This window comes from Homo sapiens, chromosome 6 (assembly GCF_000001405.40).
Source record: "Homo sapiens chromosome 6, GRCh38.p14 Primary Assembly".
Classification (NCBI taxonomy): domain Eukaryota; kingdom Metazoa; phylum Chordata; class Mammalia; order Primates; family Hominidae; genus Homo; species Homo sapiens.
In genome coordinates this window covers 15,133,623-15,156,698 of record NC_000006.12, presented here as the reverse complement: position 1 = coordinate 15,156,698, position 23,076 = coordinate 15,133,623, and the positions used below count along the sequence as shown (strand labels likewise).

Genomic DNA, 23,076 nt, shown 5'->3' with positions numbered 1-23,076 from the left:
ACAGGTTATAAATTGCTCGTTAAAGATTTATCTTCCTGATTATATTTTACTGAAACAAATATATTGACTTTTAAATTTACCTGTCTTGGCCAAACTATATTTCCTTTTTAGTCTTGTTTTGTTTTGTTTTTAGAGATGAGGTCTTGAGGCTGGGTGCAGTGGCTCATGCTTGTAATCCCAGCACTTTGGGAGGCTGAAGCGGGCAGATCACCTGAGGTCAGGAGTTTGAGACCAGCCTGACCAACATGGTGAAACCCCGTCTCTACTAAAAATACAAAATTAGCTGGGCGTGGTGGCGCAAGCCTGTAATCCCAGCTACTCGGGGGGCTGAGGCAGGAGAATCACTTGAACCCAGGAGGCAGAGGTTGCAGTGAGCCAAGATCTCTCCATTGCACTTCAATCTGGGCAACTAGAGTGAAACCCTCTCTCAAAAACAAAAACAACAACAACAACAACAACACCAACAACAAAAACTAGAGATGAGGTCTCACTTTGTCACCTACGTTGGAGTGCAGTGATGCAATCATAGCTCACTGCAGCCTCAAACTCCTGGGCTCAAGGAATCCTCCCACCTTAGCCTCCCAAAGTGCTGGGGTTATATATATGTGAGACATTGTGCTCAATGTAACTTTTCCTTTCTACTGTGTGTGTCAGAGTTTACATGTGCTTTTAAGATTGTATACATTCTTCATCACTGTCTTAGTCCATTTAGTGCTCCTGTAACACAATACCATAGACTGGGTGATCTATAATAAACAGAAATATGGGCCAGGCGCGGTGGCTCATGCCTGTAATCCCAGCACTTTGGGAGGGCAGGTGGATCACTTGAGGCCAGGAGTTCAAGACCAGCCTGGCCAACATGGTGAAACCCTGTCTCTACTAAAAATACAAAAATTGGCCAAGCATAGTGGCATGTGCCTGTAGTCCCAGCTACTCAGGAGCCTGTGGCATGAGAATCGCTTGAACCCAGGAGGCAGAGGCTGCAGTGAGATTGCGCTACTGCACTCCAGCCTGGGTAACAGAGCAAGACTTTATCTAAACAAACAAACAAACAAAAAAAAAAACAACGAAATTTATTGGCTCACAGTTCTGGAGACTGGGAAGTCCAAGATCGTGAGGCTGGCACCTCATGAGACCCTTCTTGCTGTGTCATCCCACGGTGGAGGGCAGAGGAGCAAATGAGGAGGAGAGAGCAAAAGGAGGCTGAATTCATCATTTTATAAGAAACCTACTCCCTTAGCCAGCACAGTGGCTCACACCTGTAATCCCAGCACTTTGGGAGGCCGAGGCATGAGGATCACTTGAGGTCAGGAGTCTGAGCGCCTGGGCAACATAGCAAAACCTCTTTTCTGCTGAAAATACAAAAATTAGCCAGGCAAGGTAACACATGCCTGTAATTCCAGCTATTTGGGAGGCTGAGGCAGGAGGATCACTGGAGCCCAGGAAGTGGAGGTTGCAGTGAGCAGATATCACACCACTGTACTCCAGCCTGGGCAACAGAGCGAGACCCTGTCTCAAAAAAGAAACCTATCCCATTCCCAAGATAACAGTGTTAATCCATTCATGAGGGTGGAGGCTTCATGGCCCAATCACTTCTAAAAGGTCTTACGTTTTAACACTGTTGTAGAGGGGATTAACTTTCCAACACATGAATGGGGGACACATTCAAACTATAGTAATCAGTCATGTGGCATTCCATGGTCGTATGTAAGACACCCCACAATAATTAATTATAGTGATTTGGAGGCCTCTATAAAAATGATCTTTCAACTGTGCATACAGTTAACCTTTCTTTTCCTCCTCTGTATCTTTTTTTTTTTTTTTTTGAGGTGGAGTCTTGCTCTGTCACCCAGCCTGGAGTGCAGTGGTGTGATCTTGGCTCACTGCAACCTCCACCTCCTGGGTTCAAGTGATTCTCCTGCCTCAGGTTCCCGAGTAGCTGGGACTACAGGCACGTGCCACTACACCCAGCTAATTTTTGTATTTTTAGTAGAGACGGTATTTCGCCATGTTGGCCAGGATGATCTCGATCTCTTGACCTTGTGATCTGCCTACCTCAGCCTTCCAAAGTTTAGGGATTACAGGCATGAGCCACTGCACCCGGCCAGTCTATCTTAATAATAACAACAATATGTGCCTCCATTGCGCTTTGTATTCAAGGAATTTCAGAGACTTTAGAGTCAGCAAAAAACCCCAAATAGCTGGTCAGGAACACCACTATCAAGATGAAGAAAACAGAGATAGCCAGATGTGGAGGCTCACACCTGTAACCCCAGCACTTTGGGAGGCCGAGGAGGGAGAATTGCTTGAAGCAAGGAGTTTGAGGCCTGCCTGGGCAGCAAAGCAATACTCCCTCTCTAAAAAAAAAAAAAATATATATATACACACACACACACACACACACACACACACACACACACACACACCACACGCCTGTTTGTGTAGATTATAATAGGATACAGATCTATTGACAAATGCTGCTAGAAAAATAATCTTCCCCTAGCAGCCTGCTGGGATTCAGTACCTCAAAGAAGGCATTGAAACTTTGCTCAGTAGAGCAAAAGGTATTTCACTAGGAATTTCTTTCTTTTTCTTTTTTTTTTGGAGATGGAGTCTCGCTCTGTAGCCAGGCTGGAGTGCAGTGGCTCTATCTAGGCTCACTGCAACTTCTGCCTCCCGGGTTCAAGTGATTCTCCTCCCTCAGCCTCCCAAGTAGCTGGGACTACAGGTGCCCACCACTATGCCCGGCTAATTTTTTTTTTTAAGTTTTAGTAGAGATGGGGTTTCATCATGTTGCCCAGGCTGGTCTCGAACTCCTGAGCTCAGGCAATCCTCCTGCCTCGGCCTCCCAAAGTGCTAGGATTACAGGCGTGAGTCACCGTGCCCTGTCTTCACTAGGAATTTCTTTTAAGGAGACTCTCATACTGTCGCTGTGACATGAGAAAACAAGATAGCCTTACTCAACTGGGTAAGACATGAGAAAATAAGATAGCCTTCCTTACTTCATCAAACAAGATAGCCTTACTCAGCTGGGCCTGCTTCTTGCCAAGATCTCTCTATATTTTTAATTCTCAAGGCAGTCACTATGACTTACTGACTTATGCTCAATGTACATCCAGTTAGTTTTGTTCATTCATGTAGGGATTACTTTCAGACCTCACTTGTGTAGGTAGTATCCAGTTACCAGTGCTCCACTGTATACGGCATACGAGGTCCTCCTTGTTGAGATTCCCATGTCACTATTCAAGGGATTCTCCTGCCTCAGCCTCCTGAGTAGCTGGGATTAAAGGCATGTGCCAACCCGCCCGGCTAATTTTGTGTTTTTAGTAGAGACAGGGTTTCTCCATGTTGGTCAGGCTGGTCTGGAATTCCTGACCTCAGGTGATCTGCCCTACTCAGCCTCCTAAAGTGCTGGGATTACGGGTGTGAGCCACCGCGTCTGGCATATCATCTAATTTTTCTTTGAAATTTAGTGAATTTTGCTTGGGGTCTTTCACATACACAGCCTCACCTCTTATATCTGTTTGACCTTGCCATTCCTTACAGAGACAAAATGAATAAAGAGGACATTGGAGGAGAAAACATTTTTGTTTTTTATTCCTCATGACTATGAGCCACAAAGATCTTTGGGAAACTCCTACAGGAATCTATACTTCAGAGAAAGGAGGGCAGAGGGAAGTTGCTGAAATATATCTGATTGTGTAGCTGGCCAGGGAAGAGAGAGACTTTGGTCATAAGGAACAGATGGTGATGATGGGATAAGAGGTCTGAGGCCAATCTTGGGACCAGCAGAAGAAAATAAAGTCTTCTGGAAAACCATCTGTGCTAGGAGCTCTCTCACGCATGGTTTAATTGAGTGTTTCCAAATGTCTTCCTTGGAACTCTAGTCCCAGGAGATGTCTCGTAAGAAGAGGAATCTGAGTTTAAATATGTTTGGGAGATGCTACATATCACATTATTGTCTTGAAGAAGTCCTACAATAAGAAATCCATTTAGATTCTGGGCGCGGTGGCTCACGCCTGTAATCCCAGTACTTTGGGAGCCTGAGGTGAGCGGATCATGAGGTCAGGAGTTCGAGACCAGCCTGACCAACATGGTGAAACCCTGTCTCTATTAAAAATACAAAAATTAGCCGGCTGTGGTGGTGCATGTCTGTAATCCCAGCTACTCAGGAGGCTGAGGCAGGAGAATCACCTGAACCTGGGAGGCGGAGGTTGCAGTGAGCCGAGATCGCACCACTGTACTCTAGCCTGGGCGACAGAGTGAGACTCTGCCTCATAAAAAAAAAAAAAGAAAAATTCATTTAGTGTTTCTCCTTCATCTCATTAGCAGGATTGCCATGTCCAAGGAGATGTGCATTTAAAATGTTGGAAGATATTGCAAATTTGCATATATTTCTATGTCAACCGATGATGTATGAGACCTCCTTGTGACCTAGCATTTCCTTTTTTTTTGAGACAGAGTTTCGCTCTTGTTGCCCAGGCTGGAGTGCAATGGCGTGATCTCGGCTCACTGCAACCTCTGCCTCCTGGGTTCAAGCAATTCTTCTGCCTCAACCTCCCAAGTAGCTGGGATTACGGACATGTGCCACCATGTCCAGCTAGTTTTGTATTTTTAGTAGAGATGGGGTTTCTCCATGTTGGTCAGGCTGGTCTCAAACTCCTGACCTCAAGTGATCCCCCCACCTCGGCCTCCCAAAGTGCTCTGATTACAGGTGTGAGCCACCGCGCCCGGCCCCCCTTTTTATTTTTTGAGACGAAGTCTTGCTCTTTTGCCCAGGCTGGAGTGCAGTGGAATGATCTCGGCTTACTGCAACTTCTGCCTCCTGGGTTCAATCGATTCTCCTGACTTATCCTCCTAAATAGCTGGGATTACAGGCAACTGCCACCATGCCTGGCTAATGTTTTTGTATTTTTAGTAGAGACGGGGTTTCGCCATGTTGGCCAGGCTGGTCTCAAACTCCTAACCTCAGGTGATCCACCTGCCTTGGCCTCCCAAAGTGCTGGGATTACAAGAGTGAGCTGCTGCGCCCGGCCAGCATTTCCCATTTTTATTTGAGTGTGGAAACTTCCTTTTTGGTAATTCCTATTAATAGCCCATACAGCTGATGTTCCAGAAAATAGTTTGGGAATAGGGTCTATCTTATTTTGAATTTTTCAAAATTTTTAATATTTTTGATACTGGTCTATTTTTAGTCTTCTACAATCTGTGTACAGTGTGCGTTACTATCCTCTTTCTATAAATGAAGAACTGAAACTCAGAAAGAAACCTGACCACTTCTTATGAGGTACACTGTCTCTTAACGCCTAACCTACTGAACCCTGCCCTAGGGCACAGATGACAGCTGAGGCTGTACTTGCTGCAACAATCCACTTCTACTGCTAGGGGTTGAAACTCTAGATCCCTTTCCTCTGCAAGCATCGTGCAGTACACTATTGTTCGGTTTCTATGGTCTTTTTAGCACAGTTGTCTATTTTCAGTGCATTGCCGGTTATTAGCTACTGTGGCTTTTCTCTGTAATTCTATCTGCCATATATTGGAGCCTTTTTTTGTTTTAATTTTTTATTAAAATAGAGATGGGATCTCACTATGTTGCCCAGGCTGGTCTCAAACTCCTGGGCTCAAGTGATCCTCCTGCCTTTGGAGGCCGAGGTGGGCAGATCACGAGGTCAAGAGATAGAGGCCATCCTGGCCAACGTGGTGAAACCCCATCTCTACTAAAAATACAAAAATTAGCTGGGCGTGGTGGTGCATGCCTGTAGTCCCAGCTACTCGGGAGGCTGAGGTAGGAGAATCACTTGAACCTGGGAGGTGGAGCTTGCAGTGAGCTGAGTTCACGCCACTGTACTCCAGCCTGGCGTCAGTGCAAGACCCCATCTCAAAAAGAAAAAAAAAAAAGGAGAGATATACTTCTTCTTTTTCCTTTAATTATTTTTAATTTTTTTTTAAAAGAGACAGGGTCTCACTATGTTGCCTGGGCTGGTCTTGAACTCCTGAGTTCAAGGGATCCTCCTGCCTCAGGCTTCCAAAGTGCTGGAATTACAGGCATGAGCCACCATGCCCGGCCAAGATACACTTCTTAGAAGGTATTGTCATCTTTATTTAAGGCTCGGAGAGGTTGTTGCTTACCCAAGGTTACATAGAACCAAGATTCACACAGTTTTGTTGGACTTCTTCAAAGGATACTGCCTTTTTTGGAAACATGTTTTGAGCTCCAGGCAACAACCAATGTTTGGAACCCACCTTATTGCATAATTTGGGACTACCCTAATCTTAAACCTCATTGACAATGATTGGCTGCTTTTGACTCTAGAAATGACTCTCCTGTGTCTCCTGAGTCCTATTTGCCTATCCATTGGTTAAGATCTGCTTTGGTCTAAACAGAGTTAAGGCCAGGCATGGTGGCTCATGCCTATAATCCCAGGGCTTTGGGAAGCCAAGGCGGAAGGATCATTTGAGCTCAGGAGTTCAAGACCAGCCTGGGCAACATTGCCAAATCTGGCCTCTATAAAGAAAAAAACAAAAAACAAAAAACTGGGCGTGAGGAGTACCTGTAGTTCAAGTTACTCAGGAGGCTGAGGCAGGAGGATCCCTTGAGTTCAGGAGCCTGAAGCTGCAGCGAGCTTTGATTGCACTACTGCACTCCAGCCTGGAAAACATGGTAAGACCCCGTCTCAATAAAATAAAATAAAATAATAAAATAAAATAAAATAAAAATAGCCAGGCGCAGTGGCTCACGCCTGTAATCCCAGCACTTTGGGAGGCCAAGGTGGGCAGATCATAAGGTCAGGAGTTCAAGACCAGCCTGGCCAATATGGAGAAACCCTGTCTCCACTAAAAATACAAAAAATTAGCCTGGTGTGGTGGCACATGCCTGTAATCCCAGCTACTCGGGAGGCTGAGGCAGGAGAATTGCTTGAACCCAGGAAGTGGAGGTTGCAGTGAGCTGAGATCGTGCCACTGCACTCCAGCCTGGGTGACAGAGTGAGACTCCATCTCAAAGAACAACAAGAACAACAACAACAAACAACAGCAACAACAGCAGAGTTAGCTATGATATGATGCGTTCTTATCCCCTACCCCTCATGATCTCCCGAATCTTTCCCCCTCTTTCCTCCTGTCCCTCTGTCCTTCTCTTTCCTTCATTTTTTATAAGACTGGCAAGGTTCTGTCTTCTCTCACGATATAACATCTTCATCTTCTGCCCAGTTGGGCATCAAACAAATGATTTTATGAAAGAAATCAAGACGAGACTGGGTTTGGTGGCTCATGCCTGGAATCCCAGCACTTTGGGAGGCTGAGGTGGGCGGATCACCTGAGGTCAGGAGTTCGAGACCAGCCTGGCCAACATGGGAAAAGCTGGTCTCTACTAAAAATATAAAAATTAGCTGAGCATGGTGGCGCATGCTTGTAATCCCAGCTACTTGAGAGGCTGAGGCACAAGAATTGCTTGAACCCAGGAGGCAGAGGTTGCAAGACAGGAGGCAAAGTCGGTGATTCTCAGTCATTTTCCCTGCAGCCCACTTCCCCCACTTCTGCCCTCATTCAGCCCATACCCCAATTTTTCCTACCTCTTCCCTCACCTTCTTACTTCCTGCCTCTCCCCAGCTAGGGAGGTTTTCCCATAGCTGGAGATTTTCCCTAAAGGGACGAAGCCTAGGGAAGGAGGATAAAGGCATAGAATAGACCCAGTGTGGAAGAGGCGTGAGGGTGAGGGGCACTTGGGCAAGGTGCATGGATGGAAATGAAGGAGAGGAAAGGTCTTCCCATCTACACAGGGCTGAGGATGCACAGCTTCAGAGTGACCACAAGGACGCTGAGGAAAGAGCAGTGGGGATGGAATGAGACAGACATGGAAGGCAGGAGGGGGCCTGCAGAGAGGCAGAGTCACAGAGCGCACGACACAAGGCTGAGGCAGGTGACAACACAGACATTCTGGAGAACAGAAGGGCATTCAGGGAGGAGAGCCAAGGCCACATAGGGTTGACTTTTTTTTTTTAAAGGATTAAGAATGAATCACTGTTTTCATAAGCATCAGTGCACATGCCATATGTTAGGTGTTGCCGGAGTAGAAAACCCCAGAACACGACTTAGAACAGGCCCAACAGCCTCATGCTCTGCCCTGACGGGGCCCTGTGGGAGAGCTCCTGGGCTTAGCTTTCCCCAGAGATGAGGTAATGCTCCTCAGGCATCTCTGGGGACGTGATCTTCACCCCCTCCCTCCTCTAAAGTGAAATCCAAACCAATATAAACCCTGTAAACCTTCCTTGACGGCTCCAAGGTTAGAAGAGAAGTGGAAGTTAGCCACATCATTAATAACAGATCCCCTGGTGAAGGCTCAGTAAACACTCGGAAATTAATAACAGAGAAAAGAGGAGCAGGATAGTAATTTGGATCATAGACTCCTTTGAAAATCTGAAGAAAGCTATAGACTCTCTCCCCAGAAAAAAGCACATGTACATATACACACCAGCTTCAATAAGATAGTGTCTGGATGTTTGTTAAAATCCTGAGGCCAAGGCCAAGGGTTGAGGGGCCATGGACCCCTGAATAAGAAGCCCTGACTTAGAGTATATGAAATAGTTTTGCATCTGTGATCTGTTTTGTCCAGCCAAGGCCCTGGAGATAGGGCAGATGCTGCCTGCGTGGGACAGGCAAAGAGACCTGGGCACAGAGGAGGACTGACTTGCTCCCTGCCTGTGCGAGGAGGTAGCGTGGAGCTAAATTTAGAACGCCTACCTCCATGGCCAGTCTTGTCTTATCACTCACTGTAAATTTGGAACCTGCTGTTAGACAAACTTTTCATTTTTTCTTACATTTTTAGGTAGTTAATTGGGGTTTTTAGAAAAGGGGAGAAATTAAAGGCCGGGAGTGACAGCTCACACCTGTAATCCCAGCACTTGGGGAGGCCGAGGAGGAAGGATCGCTCGAGCCCAGGAGTTTGAGACCAGCCTTGGCAATATAGTGAGACCCAGTCTCTATAAAAAAAAATAACAATAATAAAATAAAATAAAATAATAATGGCTCGGCGCAGTGGCTCACGCCTGTAATCCCAGCACTTTGGGAGGCTGAGGTGGGCGGATTACCTGAGGTCAGGAGTTCGAGATCAGCCTGGGCAACACGGTGAAACCCCATCTTTACTAAAAATACAAAATCAGCCGGGCGTGGTGACACATGCCTGTAATCCCAGCTACTCAGGAGGCTGAGGCAGGAGAATCGCTTGAACCTGGGAGGCAGAGGATGCGGTGAGCCAACATTGCGCCATTGCACTCCAGCCTGGGCAACGAGTAAATCTCCGTCCCGCCAAAAAAAAAGAAAAAAAAAAAATAATAAAAATTAACTAGGCATGGTGGTGTGTGCCTGTAGTCCCAGCTACTTGGGAGGCTGAGATGGGAGGATAGCTTGAGCCCAGGAGTTTGAGGCTGCAGTGAGCTGTGATGGTGCCACTGCACTCCAGTTTGGGCGACAGAGCAAGACCCTGTCTCAAAAACGAAACAAAACAAACAAAAAAAAAGGAAAGAAAAGAGGAGAAAAGACTATATTTTCAGGGCTTCAGGGATCATTTCTACAGTTTCTTACTAGACAAGTTTTTCTGAACGTGTAGAGCACTAAAATCAGGCCTGGTGTGGTGGTTCACGCCTGTAATCCCAGCACTTTGGGAGGCCGAGGTGGGTGGATCACCTGAGGTCAGGAGTTTGAGACCAGCCTGGCCAACATGGTGAAACCCTGTCTCTACTAAAAATACAAGAATTAGCTGGGCATGGTGGCGCTTGCCTGTAATCTCAGCTACTTGAGAGGCTGAGGCAGAGGAATCACTTGAACCCAGGAGGCAGAGGAGGCAGTGAGCCGAGATCGAGCCGTTGCACTACTGCCTGGGCAACAATAGCGAAACTCCGTCTCAAAAAAAAAAAAAAATAGGACTCCATCCAGTCATCACTGGAAGTGAGCTGACTGGAGCTAAACTTCAGAACTGTGTGAGCTGAGCGGTTACAAGACATTAGGAAGCTAAAAAAACTGGTGGATGAAGTTGTTAAGAGTATGAAACCCAAATCAACAGCCACCATGTTTTCAAAACAGATTTGTAAAAATTGCATTTGTTACACTGTACAGAAACTTTTTTTTTTTTTTTTTTGAGATGGTGTTTTGCTCTTGTTGCCTAGGCTGGAGTGCAGTGGTGTGATCTCAGCTCACTGCAATCTCCACCTCCTGGGTTCAAGCGATATTCCTGCCTCAGCCTCCTGAATAGCTGGGACTACAGGTGCCCACCACCGCACCCGGCTATTTTTTTTTTTTTTTTGAGATGGAGTTTGCTCTTGTTACCCAGGCTGGAGTGCAATGGTACTATCTTGGCTCACTGCAACGTCTGCCTCCTAGGTCCAAGCGATTGTCCTACCTCAGCCTCCCGAGTAGCTGGGATTACAGGCATGCGCCACCACACCTGGCTAATTTTGTATTTTTAGTAGAGATGGGGTTTCACCATGTTGATCAGGCTGGTCTCAAACTCCCAACCTCAGGTGATCCACCCACCTCTGCCTCCCAAAGTGCTGGGATTACAGGCATGAGCCCCCAAGCCTGACCAGAGGCTTTTTAAATTAAATAAATATCAAACTACATTCTTAAAAAGGAAAAAAGTGGGGGAGAAATTAGATTGTGCTTCCTCTTTACCCTTTTGTGACATCACCAGCACATTCTCACAGCTTCTTCTTCCTTCTACACTCAAAATACAAGATGAGGAGAAATCTGCTGGGTTTGAGATCCAGTAAGAAAGAAAGTGCCTCTTAATAGAAGGTAATAGGAATAACAGCCATCCATATTACAACTGCTGCTTCTTTCCCATTGTCAGAAAAATGGGGTCCATTTATGACTGGATGACAAATCCTACAGGGCTGAGAGTTAATAGAAACCCTGCAATGCAGTTAGGACGTGCTGACTTTTTGTGCAGTCTTTTAACGGGCGCAAGGACCAGGCAACCTTCCAGCCACTTAACAGTCTGAAAACTCTTCTTGCCTAGTAGGTCCTCTGTTTCCTTTAGTGTTTAATAATGGAATAATGTGTGCTCATAACAGGTAAGTCATGGAAAATGAGCGTGATACTGCATTAGAGGTTATACTTCATGAGGAGATGAACTGGTGTGAGCTTACGTTTTGTTTTGTTGGGATTTTATTTTGTTGGGACTTTTTTTTTTTTTTTCACCGTGTTAGCCAGGATGGTCTCCATCTCCTGACCTCATGATCCGCCTGCCTCGGCCTCCCAAAGCGCTGGGATTACAGGCTTGAGCCACCGTGCCCGGCCACAAGATGGGTTTTCATTCAGCAAGCACATAGGTGTTTGCTGTATGATGAATGGGGCGTAATTTAAAATTTAGTGGGATGTCTTATAAATGACGTGGCTTTTTCTGGAACCTATAGAACATAGAAATGACAAAGAGCATACAGTGCCAATGTTCACTGAATGAGCATTTATTGAGCACATATTATGTTCTGGACAATGAAGAAACATAATCTCTCTCTACTGTTGAACAACTCAGTCCTACAGGAGAAATATATTTAAATATATATATAGTTTGCTTGTTTTGTTTTGTTTTTTGACACAAAGCCTCGCTCTGTTGCCCAGGCTGGAGTGCAGTGGCACTATCACGGCTCACTGTAGCCTCCCAGGCTCAAGTGATCCTTCTGCCTCAGGCTCCTGACTAGCTGGGACTGTCAGCATGCGCCACTATGCCTGGCTAATTTTCATAATTATTATTTTTTTGTAGAGACAGGGTCTTATAATGTTGCCCAGAGTGGTCTCCAACTCCTGGGCTCAAGCAATCCTCCCTCCTCAGCCTCCCAAAGTTCTGGGAGTATAGGTGTGAGCCTGAGGTGGGAGGATCATTTGAACCTGGGAGGCTTCCATGAGTCATGATTGTGCAACTGCACTCCAGCCTGGGCAACAGAGGAAGACCTTGTTGCTCAAAAATATATATTTTGAGACAGGGTCTCACACTGCTTTCTAGGCTAGAGGTAGTGGTGTGACCACGGCTCATTGCAGCCTCCAACTCCAGGGCTCAATCAATCCTCCCACCTCAGCCTCCTGAGTAGCTGGGAGTACAGGTGCATGCCACCATACTGGCTAATTTTTTCTTTCTTTCTTCCTCTCTTTCTTTCTTTTTCTTTCTTTTCTTTCTTTCTCTTTCTTTCTTTCTCTTTCTTTTTCTTTCTTTTCTTCCTTTCTTCCTTTCTTCCTTTCTCTTTCCTTCTTTGTTTGTTTCTTTCTTTCTTCCTTCCTTCCTTCCTTCCTTCCTTCCTTCCTTCCTTCCTTCCTTTCTTTCTTTCTTTCTTTCTTTCTTTCTTTCTTTCTTTCTTTCTTTTCTTTTTTCCTCTCTTCCTTTCTTTCTTTCAAAAGAGTCTCACTCCATTGCCAGGCTGGAGTGGAGTGGCGTGATCTTGGCTCGCTGCAACCTCGTCTCCCAGGTTCAAGTGATTCTCCTGCCTCAGCTTCCCGAGTAGCTGGGACTACAGGCGCACACCACCATGCCCAGCTAATTTTTTGTATTTTTAGTAGAGCCTGGGTTTCACCATGTTGGCCAGGATGGTCTCGATCTCTTGACCTCGTGATCTGCACGCTTCAGCCTTCCAAAGTGCTGGGATTACAGGCGTAAGCCACCGCGCCTGGCTCATACTGGCTAATTTTTTAATTTTATGTAGAGATGGGGGCTCACTATGTAGCCCAAGCTCCAGTCCATATTAACAACTATGGTAATTACAATTCGAGGTAATTAGGAATGCTTAGGTAGAGTCCAGGTAAGCAAGCCATTCTCTTCGTTAAGTGCTAAAATGGGTGCTCTGATGATTTCCATGTAGGAACTGAAATAATGTAGAATTCATGGAGAGAAGATGGGGAAGGATATTGTAAGGAGAAGGAATAGCATGAGCCAAGCTTCGGAGGTGTGACCATGTGTGACCTCTTTAGGTGATGATGGGTAATGTACAGTCTTGCTTCTCAAAGCATAGTCCCTAGACAAGCAGCAATCTCATCACCTTGAGATTTTGTTAGGAGGCAGATCCTGATTTAGTAGGTCTGGGGAGGGACCCAAGATTCTGCATTCCTCACAAGTTCCTGGATGAATGTTGACACTGACAGTTCATGGACCACAGTCATTCCCGCCATTCTAGGAGCATGCAGCCAATCCGATAAGCAATGTCTGTAGGGTAAGTCCACCCAAGTGCTGTTTTTACCTTTGGAATTCTCTCCCCTCATCCATAGACATACGTTCATAGGACTGTTAATTATTGCCACTCATCTTGAATTCCCTGGCTAAGAAGTTATTATTGAACGGCTGTAAATATGCTGGGGCTTGGGAGATTCAGGGGAGCAAGGAGAAATGACTAAAACAAACACTCCGTGGTGTCAAGATACAAAGCAGATGGCCTGTGTCTTAGCACACTTGACACAGTGCCTCAGAACCTGCTGGGACAATTGTTCATGCATTTATTCACTCAATCCTTCAACCCTGTGCCTAGTTCTGTATGCTCAGAACTGGGGGTCTGGGGAAGGGGTTGGTGTGGGATGGTGAGGAGGGAAAAGGGACTATTTTGACCTGGATTTGAACCCAAACTTGGAAAGCAGTTTTCCTTAGCTAGATGATTCTGAGGCAGAACGAAAGCAAAAGCGGGACCTGGGTTCTCTGTGGGATCTGAATAGCTGTGGGATAGGCGCCCCATGTAGAGGACTGATGAGGTGTCACTGAATTGTGGAGAGATGATGTACACGCTTGCAGGGTAAACTACAATCTAAATGCGTACTTTCTGAGTATTTTTCCAAGCACTACAAGAGGTCATCTAGTTAACATCCAATGTGATCAAGAGATGGCCCAGCACTCCATCGTAGAAGAATGACAAAATTTTATTGTGACTCGATCTTGGCCCAATTTACCATCTTAGAAGAATTAATGGTACCTAGGTGAGTAAGGTTTTTTAAAAAATTATTATTATTATTATTTCGCTTACAGCCTCACTAAAATGGAAAGGACCTGAAAGTTTGCCAGAAAATGGATTGCTAACTGATGGGAAGAGAAGTATGAAAGGGATTGGGATTCCCTCTACTCATCACTCTACTCAGACAAAGTAAAACTGAGTGTGAAAGGCAATAAAGACTGAAACTAGGCTGGGCGTGGTGGCTCACGCCTGCAATCCCAGCACTTTGGGAGGCTGAGGCAGGAGGATCGGTTGAGCCCAGGAATTTGAGATCAGCCTGGGCAATATAGTGAGACCTTGTCTTTACAAAAAATTTTAAAAATTAGCCAGGCATATGGTTGGCACTTGTCCCAGCTACTCGTGAAGCTGAGGTGGGAAGATGACTTGAGCCCAGGAGGTGCAGATTGTTGTCAGCCGAGATGACACCACTGTGCTCCAGCCTGGGTGACAGAGTGAGACCCTCTCTCAAAACAAAACAAAACAAAAAACACCAAAGTCATTTAAAATCATTTACCTTGCAAGAGATATCATATGCATTTATTTATTGAATAGCAACTTTAGGCCAGATACACTTCATAGGATATTCCACTTAATCCTCTAGCAGTCTTACAGTCATCTACCATTACTAACATCTTACAGTTAAATTGAGACTTAGAAAAGTAAAGTAGCTTGTGGCTGGGCATGGTGGCTCAACCCTGTAATCTCAGAACTTTGGGAGGTCAAGGTAGGTGTATCACTTGAGGCCAGGAGTTCCAGACCACCCTTGCCAACATGGTGAAACCCCGTCTCTACTAAAAATACAAAAATTAGGCTGGACGCGGTGGCTCACACCTATAATCCCAAAACTTTGGGAGGCCAAGGAGGGTGGATCACTCGAGGTCAGGAGTTCGAGACCAGTCTGGCCAACGAGGTAAAACCCTGTCTCTACTAAAAATACAAAAATTAACTGGTTATGGTGATCTGTGCCTGTAGTCCAAGCTACTCTGGAGGCTGAGGCAGGAGGATCACTTGAACCTGGGAGGTGGAGGTTGCAGTGAGCCAAGATTGTGCCACTGCGCTCCTGCCTGGGCAACAGAATGATACTCTGTCTCAAAAAAATAAATAAACAAAATAAAGAAATAGTTAAAAAAAAAAAGTACAGTAAAGTGGCTTGCTCAGTGTATCAAAGCTTGTAAGTTGCAGCCCAATATGAACAAGATTTTTCTGGCTACTTGTACTACCTGTCTTATGGTACAATGGCTGTCTGTGCCACAAACACTTCAATTTGTCATGAAAGACATATGACCCAAAACTAATTTAGGAGCCAGTCAAAGTCCCTCTGCTAGTGGACCTAATGAAGCCAACTGTCTCAGGAATGAAGTAAAGCCTTGGTGAACTTCCCAGAAAGTTTTTTTTTTTTTAGATGGGATCTCACTTTGTCTGTTGCCCAGGTTGGAGTGCAATGGTGTGACCATAGCTCACTGCAGCCTCGACCTCCTGGGCTCAAGCAATCCTTCTGTCTCAGCCTCCAGAATAGCTGGGACTACAGGCATGTGCCATGACATCTGAATAATTTTTTAAAATGTTTTGTCAAGTTGGAGTTTCACTTTGTGGCTCAGGCTGGTCTCAAACTCCTGGGCTCAAGTGATCCTCCTGCCTTGGCATCCCAAAGTACTAGGATTACAGGTGTGAGCCACCATGCCCAGCCAAAAAGAGGTCTTTATTCCTCTAGGAAAGAGTAAGACTTAGTAGTGTCCACAACTTCTTGAGCCCTGTCCCTCCAAAAGTTTACATGGTGGGAATGTAATTTTCAATGCAACAATGTCTGGAAGTGGGACCAAATAAGCAAGCAGCAACTGCACTGTGAGCACTCTGCCCTAGTGAACAGATTAATGTCATCGCAGGAGCTGGTTAGTTATGGCTAGAGTGAGTTGTAAAGCAAGTCCAGACCCTGGTGCCTTTCTCTCTCACACTCTTCTGCCCTTCTGCCATGTTACGATGCAGCAAGAAGGACCTCACCAGATGCCAGCCCTTCATAATGGACTTCCTAGCCTCCAGAACTATAAGTTAAACCATAAATCTCTTATGAAGTTTATTTAACTTATGGTTCTGCAGGCTAAATTCATATAAATTACAAAGTATGTGGTTTTCTGCTTTAGCAACAGAAAACAAAGTGAGGCAAACCCCAAGGAAGCTATATTCAGCCCTCCAGGAATTCTTTGTTGGAGAAGCTTTTCTTTTCTTTTCTGTTTTTTTTTTTTTTTTTTTTTGAGACAGAGTCTCCCTCTGTCACCCAGGCTGGAGTGCAATGGTGTGATCTTGGCTCACTGCAACCTCTGCCTCCTGGGTTCAAGCGATTCTCCTGCCTCACCCTCCCAAGTAGCTGGGACTACAGGCATGTGCTGCCATGCCTGGCTAATTTTTGTATTTTTAGTAGAGATGGGGTTTCACCATGTTGACCAGGCTGGTCTCGAACTCCTGACCTCAAGTGATCCGCCCACCTTGGCCTCCCAAAGTGCTGGGATTACAGGCCTGAGCCACCGCGCCCAACCTTGGAGAAGTTTCTCCACAAGAATTGGAGATGGCTCATAAACCTACCGTTAGAAATCTGCAAAGTTGGACCGAGTTCAGTGGCTCACACCTGTAATCCCAGCACTCTGGGAGGCTGAGGCAGGAGGATCGCTTGAGCCCAGGAGTTTGAGACCAGCCTGGGCAGGATAGGGAGACCCTTTGTCTAAAAAAAAAAAAAAGAAAAAAAAAAAATTGTAAAATTAAGTTGCGTCAGGGTGAGGCATATTCTTGAACTTAGAATACATTAGACTATGGTCTTCCATTTTTGGGAATGCTCCAAATGGATATTAACGGAAAGGTAAATTAAGCCCTTGCTGCAGAGGATTCTATTGCTTTTGAGAAAGGTATGATGGTTCACTGGGAAGTGGAACCTGAAGTAGGTGGATGAAGTAGGTTATTTGTGGACCTGGGAGAAGGCTCAGAAATAGTCTGACCTGACAGAGACAAACAAATGGTATAATAAAACCAGCCCCTATGGAGCGAATGGGCATGAGTTGAATTTTCAGTTCAATCACTTTGTACCATGAGAGCTTGAAGAATTTATTTAAACTCATTGAGAATTAATTTCCCCAGCTATAAAATAAGACTAATAATACCTGCCTTTCATGGGGAATAAGTTAGGCGATGTACATGTAAGAAGCCAAGCAGGATGTTTAATACACAGTGGAGGCTCAGAACATGGTAATACAGTCAAAGATTATTTATCTGGCCCAGCACCGTGGCTCACGCCTGTAATCCCAGCACTTTGGGAGGCCGAGGCGGGCAGATCACGAGGTCAGGAGTTCAAGAACAGCCTGGCCAACATGATGAAACCCCGTCTCTAATAAAGATACAGAAAATTAGCTGGGTGTGGTGGTGCGCGCCTGTAATCCCAGCTACTTGGGAGGCTGGGGTAGGAGAATCGCTTGAACCCGGGAGGTGGAAGTTGCAGTGAGCCAAGATCGCGCCACTGCACCCCAGCCTGGGAGACAGGGTGAGACTCCATCTCAAAAAAAAAAAAAAAATTATCTAAGAATTTTAACTTGGAAGTAGGGAAACAAAGAAATTATAAGATGATTCTACAAGGATTTAAAAAGACAATCATCTATTCCAAAAATAAAGGCACGATAGTAACAGAAGAACCATTCGTGATGATCTTTGGGTTGAGATGCTGGTGCGGTGATGGAGGCTCGACAGGTCGGGTGTGGTGATGCCATGGGGATTCTACCACACGCAGAGGGTTGGTTCGTGCTCACTAAGCTATTAAGCAATAGCTGCCTTAAAGCTTTAAATTACTAGCAGGCAAGCACATGTATCACAAAAGATGAGCTTGAATTTGCTCCACAACACGTGGACGCAGCAAATCTCACCTTTCCCTTAATATCCATTTGGAGCATTCCCAAAAAAGGGAAGACCATAGTTGATTTTTCTACATCAACTTGAATTTGATTCCTTGGGATCCAGCTCCCAGGGTTGGTAATTTGACCAATATCCTTAGTCCTTAGAGTGCCTCTCCATATTTCTAGGTTTATACAAGCCCTCCCTACCCAAAGTGTGGTCCTTAGAAGCTTGTTAGAAAAAAGGAATCTTGGCCCGGTGTGGTGCCTCACTCCTGTAATCCCAGCACTTTGGGAGGCCGAGGCGAGTGGATCACCTGAGGTCAGGAGTTCGAGACCAGCCTGGCCTGGCCAACATACTGAAAACCTGTCCCTTCTAAAAATACAAAAATTAGCTGGGCATGTTGGCGGGCGCCTGTAATCCCAGCTACTCAGGAGGCTGAGGCAGGAGAATTGCTTGAACTCAGGAGGCGGAGGTTGCAGTGAGCCGAGATGGAGCCATTGTGCTCCAGCCTGGGCGACAAAAGCGAGACTCCGTCTCAAAAAAAAAAAAAAAAAAAAAAAACAGATAAAAGGAATCTAAAAGGAATCTTGGATCCAACCCAGACCTATTAAATTAGTGTTTGCATTTTAACAAGGGACCCAGGTGATTCACGCACACATTACAGCTGGGAAGCACTGACGTGAGAGGCCCGGAAGCCTACGCACTCCTAAAAACTGACCTACCTCAGACCTTCATAGACTCTGCTGAAAGACTTATTGTTAAGTCTTTTGAAGTTGGTGAGAAGGTAGGCACTTTCACTTCCTGTGGGCTTACACCCCTCGATCAGAGGTCTTGCCACCACTGGGAACCTGGGTGGGCAGGTCTCTGCCATTCCTAAAGCACCAGTATCCGTTTTCTGCCCCCTGAGACCCGGTCACATCCCAGAACCTTGGAACTAACACTTTCCTCCCCATCATTATTACTGTTCTTATTCTTCTTCTTTTTTTTTTTTTTTTTTTTTTTTTTTTTTTTTTGAGATAGAGTCTTGCTCTGTCGCCAGACTGGAGTGCAGTGGTGCGATCTTGGCTCACTGCAACCTCTGCCTCCAGGTTCAAGTGATTCTCCTGCCTCGGCCCCCTGGAATAGCTGGGACTACAGGTGTGCACCACCACGCCCAGCTAATTTTTGTATTTTTAGTAGAGACGAGGTTTTACTATGTTGGCCAGGATGGTCTGGACCTCTTGACCTCGTGATCCACCAGCTTCAGCCTCCCAAAGTGCTGGGATTACAGGAGTGAGCCACCACGCCCAGCCCACTATTACTGTTCTTAAGGAGGTAGGGAGGGAGGGCTAGGACAGGAGCCGCACAGGCTCATTCTCCAGCAATCTACAGGACACATTTTGTTTTCTGCCCGGCTCTCTGAAATGGGTATCAGGTGTGGCTAGCCAATGACTCCTCTCAAGTGGAAAGACACTAAGTTCCAGAAATGAAGCAGATCCAATGGCCAGCAGCTTCTTTACAACACAAGGAAATAGTAGACAAAGGAAGTCCAGATTCAAGTTCAGGCTGGACCAGAGAGATTAGGGGCTTGGCTGTGTTTTCATCCTGTGAAACAATCCAGGTATGAGTGGGCCACTATGACTCTTTTTCAAGGCCTGAGCAGCAACTGTATTTCCTACACTAATATCAAGACATGCAAATCTAACATGAGGTTTCAGGGACACTTGGATTTCACCTCCCAGCCCCCTGCCCTGGAAGAAACACAACTAACAATTTCCAGCATATTTCAATTATTTATTATAAAATGACCCCAGAAAATTTGAAATTAGGCCAGGCATGGTGGCTTGTGCCTACAATCCCAGCACTTTGGGAAGCAGATGTGGGTGGATCACTTGAGCCCAGGAATTCAAGACCAGCCTGGGCAACATGACAAAACTTCATTGATACAAAAAAATACTAAAAAATAGCAGGTCGTGGTGGTGCATGCCTGTAGTCCCAGCTCCTCAGGAGGCTGAGGTGGGAGGATCACCTGAGGCCAGGGAGATTGAGGCTGCAGTGAGCTGTGATTGTGCCACTGCACTCCAGACTAGGCGAGAAAGTGAGACCCTGTCTCAGAAAAGAAAAAAAAAAAAGGTTAAATAATTGCAATTAGGGCCGATTCAGGAAATTCAAAATCTGAGCCCATTTTATGGCCGGTAATTGATATTTTGGGGAAAATGATTTCATTAGAACCCCTGACCCACTATAATTGTAATAGAAAATAACAAAACAGATGCTGTCAGTGTAGTGTTTAACTGACTAAATGTTTGAGGATTCATTTATTGTCATCAGGTCGCGTATTTTAACAGAAAATAAAAAAGTCGTTGCTGTTTTTTTTTGCAAGTAAAAGGTGAGTTTTAAATATCAGCTTGTGCCAAATCTCAGGTGAATTATGCCTGGATTGCCCTGGTCTAATCTCTACTGACTGTTTCTTCCTATAATTAGAATCACTACCCACATCACTGTAAGTTAAGGAGACCTAATATTTAGATAAGTCTGTTTTAAACTTGCTATTAAATTGAGTGAAATGGAGTTCTCAGGTGAGCCCACAAGTCTTCAGATCCAAGGTGAAGGCTCCGTTTCTCATTTAAACATTGTCAAACTAAGAATGATTTGATTGCTTGTGGATTTTGCATATGTCAGCACAGTAGAACCTTAGTCATGCAAATCTCTGTTGCTTAGCATGGCCATAACCCAGAAACACAGAGCTGTTTCCATATTTTATCTGTGTTTGTAGTTGAAAGCATGCCTTCTATTGTGCTTTTTTTTTTTTTTTTTGACAGAGTCTCGCTCTGTTGCCCAGGCTGGAGTGCAGTGGTGCGATCTCGGCTCACTGCAACCTCTGCCTCCTGGGTTCAAGCGATTCTCCTGCCTCAACCTCCCTAGTAGCTGGGACTATAGGCCCACGCCACCACACCCAGCTAACTTTTGTATTTTTAGTAGAGATGGGGTTTCAGCATGTTGGCCAGGCTGGTCTTGAACTCCTGACCTCAAGTGATCCACCCACCTCAGCCTCCCAATGTGCTGGGATTACAGGAGTGAGCCACCACTCCAGGCCTATTGTGCTTTTAAATAACAGATGTCAGGACAATGTTTAAAGCACATAACACGAGTATTGAAAAATGTTTGTCCGCTTTTAAAAGAAAAAAAAAAACCCACAATAATGAATTCAGCCTGCCAGTTTGTATTTTCAAGGAATATTTTAACTCTTGAGGAATTTCTAGCACCTACCCTTTAAATATCCCTCTCCTACAGTGAATGAAAGCCAAAGCCATTTTGGACTAACAGTTTCTTGTGTAGACGCACCAAGGCAGCAATATATAAGTCAGTTTTTCAAGGATTGAGACTCCCTTAGAACTGCAGGGCTCTGTGTTAGTTCTCACTTACTGAGCAAACAACACACGAGGGAAGTAACAGATACACTCATTTTGAAGACCTCGAAGAGGATGAACCAGAGGCAAGTTAGTGCTTTGGAAAAAATCAGATGTAGGGGCAGAGGGGGTTGGAGGAGAGATGAAGGCAGAAGATGCAGCATCTCTCTGGGAGAAATGGCAGGTGAATAGGCAGGAACTGAAGGAGTGGTGGGTGGAGCAGATGGCTCAGGGTCAAGATTCAAGTGAGATTCCGGGAGGGTGGTAACCAAGGACACCCCACAAGAGACGTGGTGGGAGGACTGACGCGGCAGGAGTGGGGAGAGAGGCCATGGGCCTATTTGCCCATATCTGGCAACCATCTGCAGCGTTGGTCTGAACCTAACTCATGGTAAGATTGGAACAGTGAGTCCCCAGCAAGTGGAGGTAGGTTCCTCACCTTATTTCATAAGGCAGAATTTATGGTGGAAAAGAAGGTAACAGGAAAGGGAGCGGCAGTGAAAAGAATGGAGCTGAAATAGACTTTTGCAATTGACTAGAACAGTTCCCTCTTTGGGAGGTGAGGCACTAAAGCCTGGGTTGAAAGGTAGGTTATTTAATATCTCAGGGTCTCAGCTTCTCTCACCTGTAAATTAGAAGGGTTGCATTAGAAGGTTGTGATATTTCTTCTTAAATTATGATTATAGAATGCCACTTATTTATTTCTTTATCTTAGCTGACAAGTAAAACTTGTATATCGTTATAGCATTTAACATGATGCTGCTTTCGTTGTTGTTTTGTTTTTGTTTTTTTTATTGATAGGACTGTTTAAAACACAGGATCCATGGGAAGAGGGTCAAATTTAAAGAGGCCCTTAGGGATTCATTATATGGAATAACCAGAATTTGTTGTGTGGGGCAGTTGAAGGCATTAGAGACAAAATCCTGGTTTCCTAATTTGAGAAATTAAAAAATATATATAGCTTGCAGACCACTACCTTTGTCACCTCCCAGGAATCAGGAAGCCCAGGTGAGGATCCATCGCATTAGGAGAGTGTTACGTCATGCTCTGAGATGTGAATACCTCGTAGAATGGATAATTTAGGCTATTTAACATATGCAGATTGTCATGTGTCTAATGCAGCATCAGGATCTGGAGTCACACCCAGCGCTCTCCACTGTCTACCCCGCACTCCACCATGCCCAGATTTTATCACTCCTAGAACTGCTTTGTAAATTAGCATTCATCCATGATAGAGGCCTAGATGACAGACAAGACGTCCGATGATGCTATGAAGAAGTAACATGGGCTGAGCATGGTGGCTCACGCCTGTAATCTCAGCACTTTGGGAGGCCGAGGCAGGAGGATCACTTGAGCCCAGGAAATTCAGACCAGCCTGGGCAATATAGGGAGACCCCGTCTTTATAAAAAACTAAAAAAAAAGAGAAAAAAATTAGCTGGGCATGGTGGCATGTGGGAGGCTGAGGTGGGAGCATTGCTTGAGCCCTAGAGGTCAAGGCTGCAGTGAGTGGAGATCGCACCACTGCACTCCAGCCTGGGCAACAGAGTGAGACCCTGTCTGAAACCCCCCACCAAACCAAAAAGCACACAAGCAACAGGATGCTATGAAGAAACAAAAGGTTAATAATTAAAAAAAAAAAAAAAAAAACATGCACAGCACTTTGCTTTCCCATTTATCTGGCTAGTGAATGGGGGTCAGGTTTGGGAGGAACGTTATGGAGGGAGTAAGCTCACGTTTGGAGCCAAAACCAAGAGCTTAGGCCTAAGCTCTTATTTTTCGCAAGCAACACTGTGGGATGCCCATGAAAATATGATTATGGAATCCTCTCCATAAAAACAAAGTAGCAAGACCTTCAGGTGCT

General features: G+C 45.3%; 1 long non-coding RNA gene across 1 annotated transcript in view; it reads left to right on the top strand.

The window, feature by feature from the left end:
* Positions 1-12,914, top strand: part of LOC105374946 (uncharacterized) — a 33,129-nt gene extending 20,215 nt beyond the window's left edge. Inside the window, exon 3 of the long non-coding RNA XR_926520.1 lies at positions 12,843-12,914. This is a non-coding gene — a long non-coding RNA (uncharacterized LOC105374946). The remainder of the gene's footprint in view (positions 1-12,842) is intronic.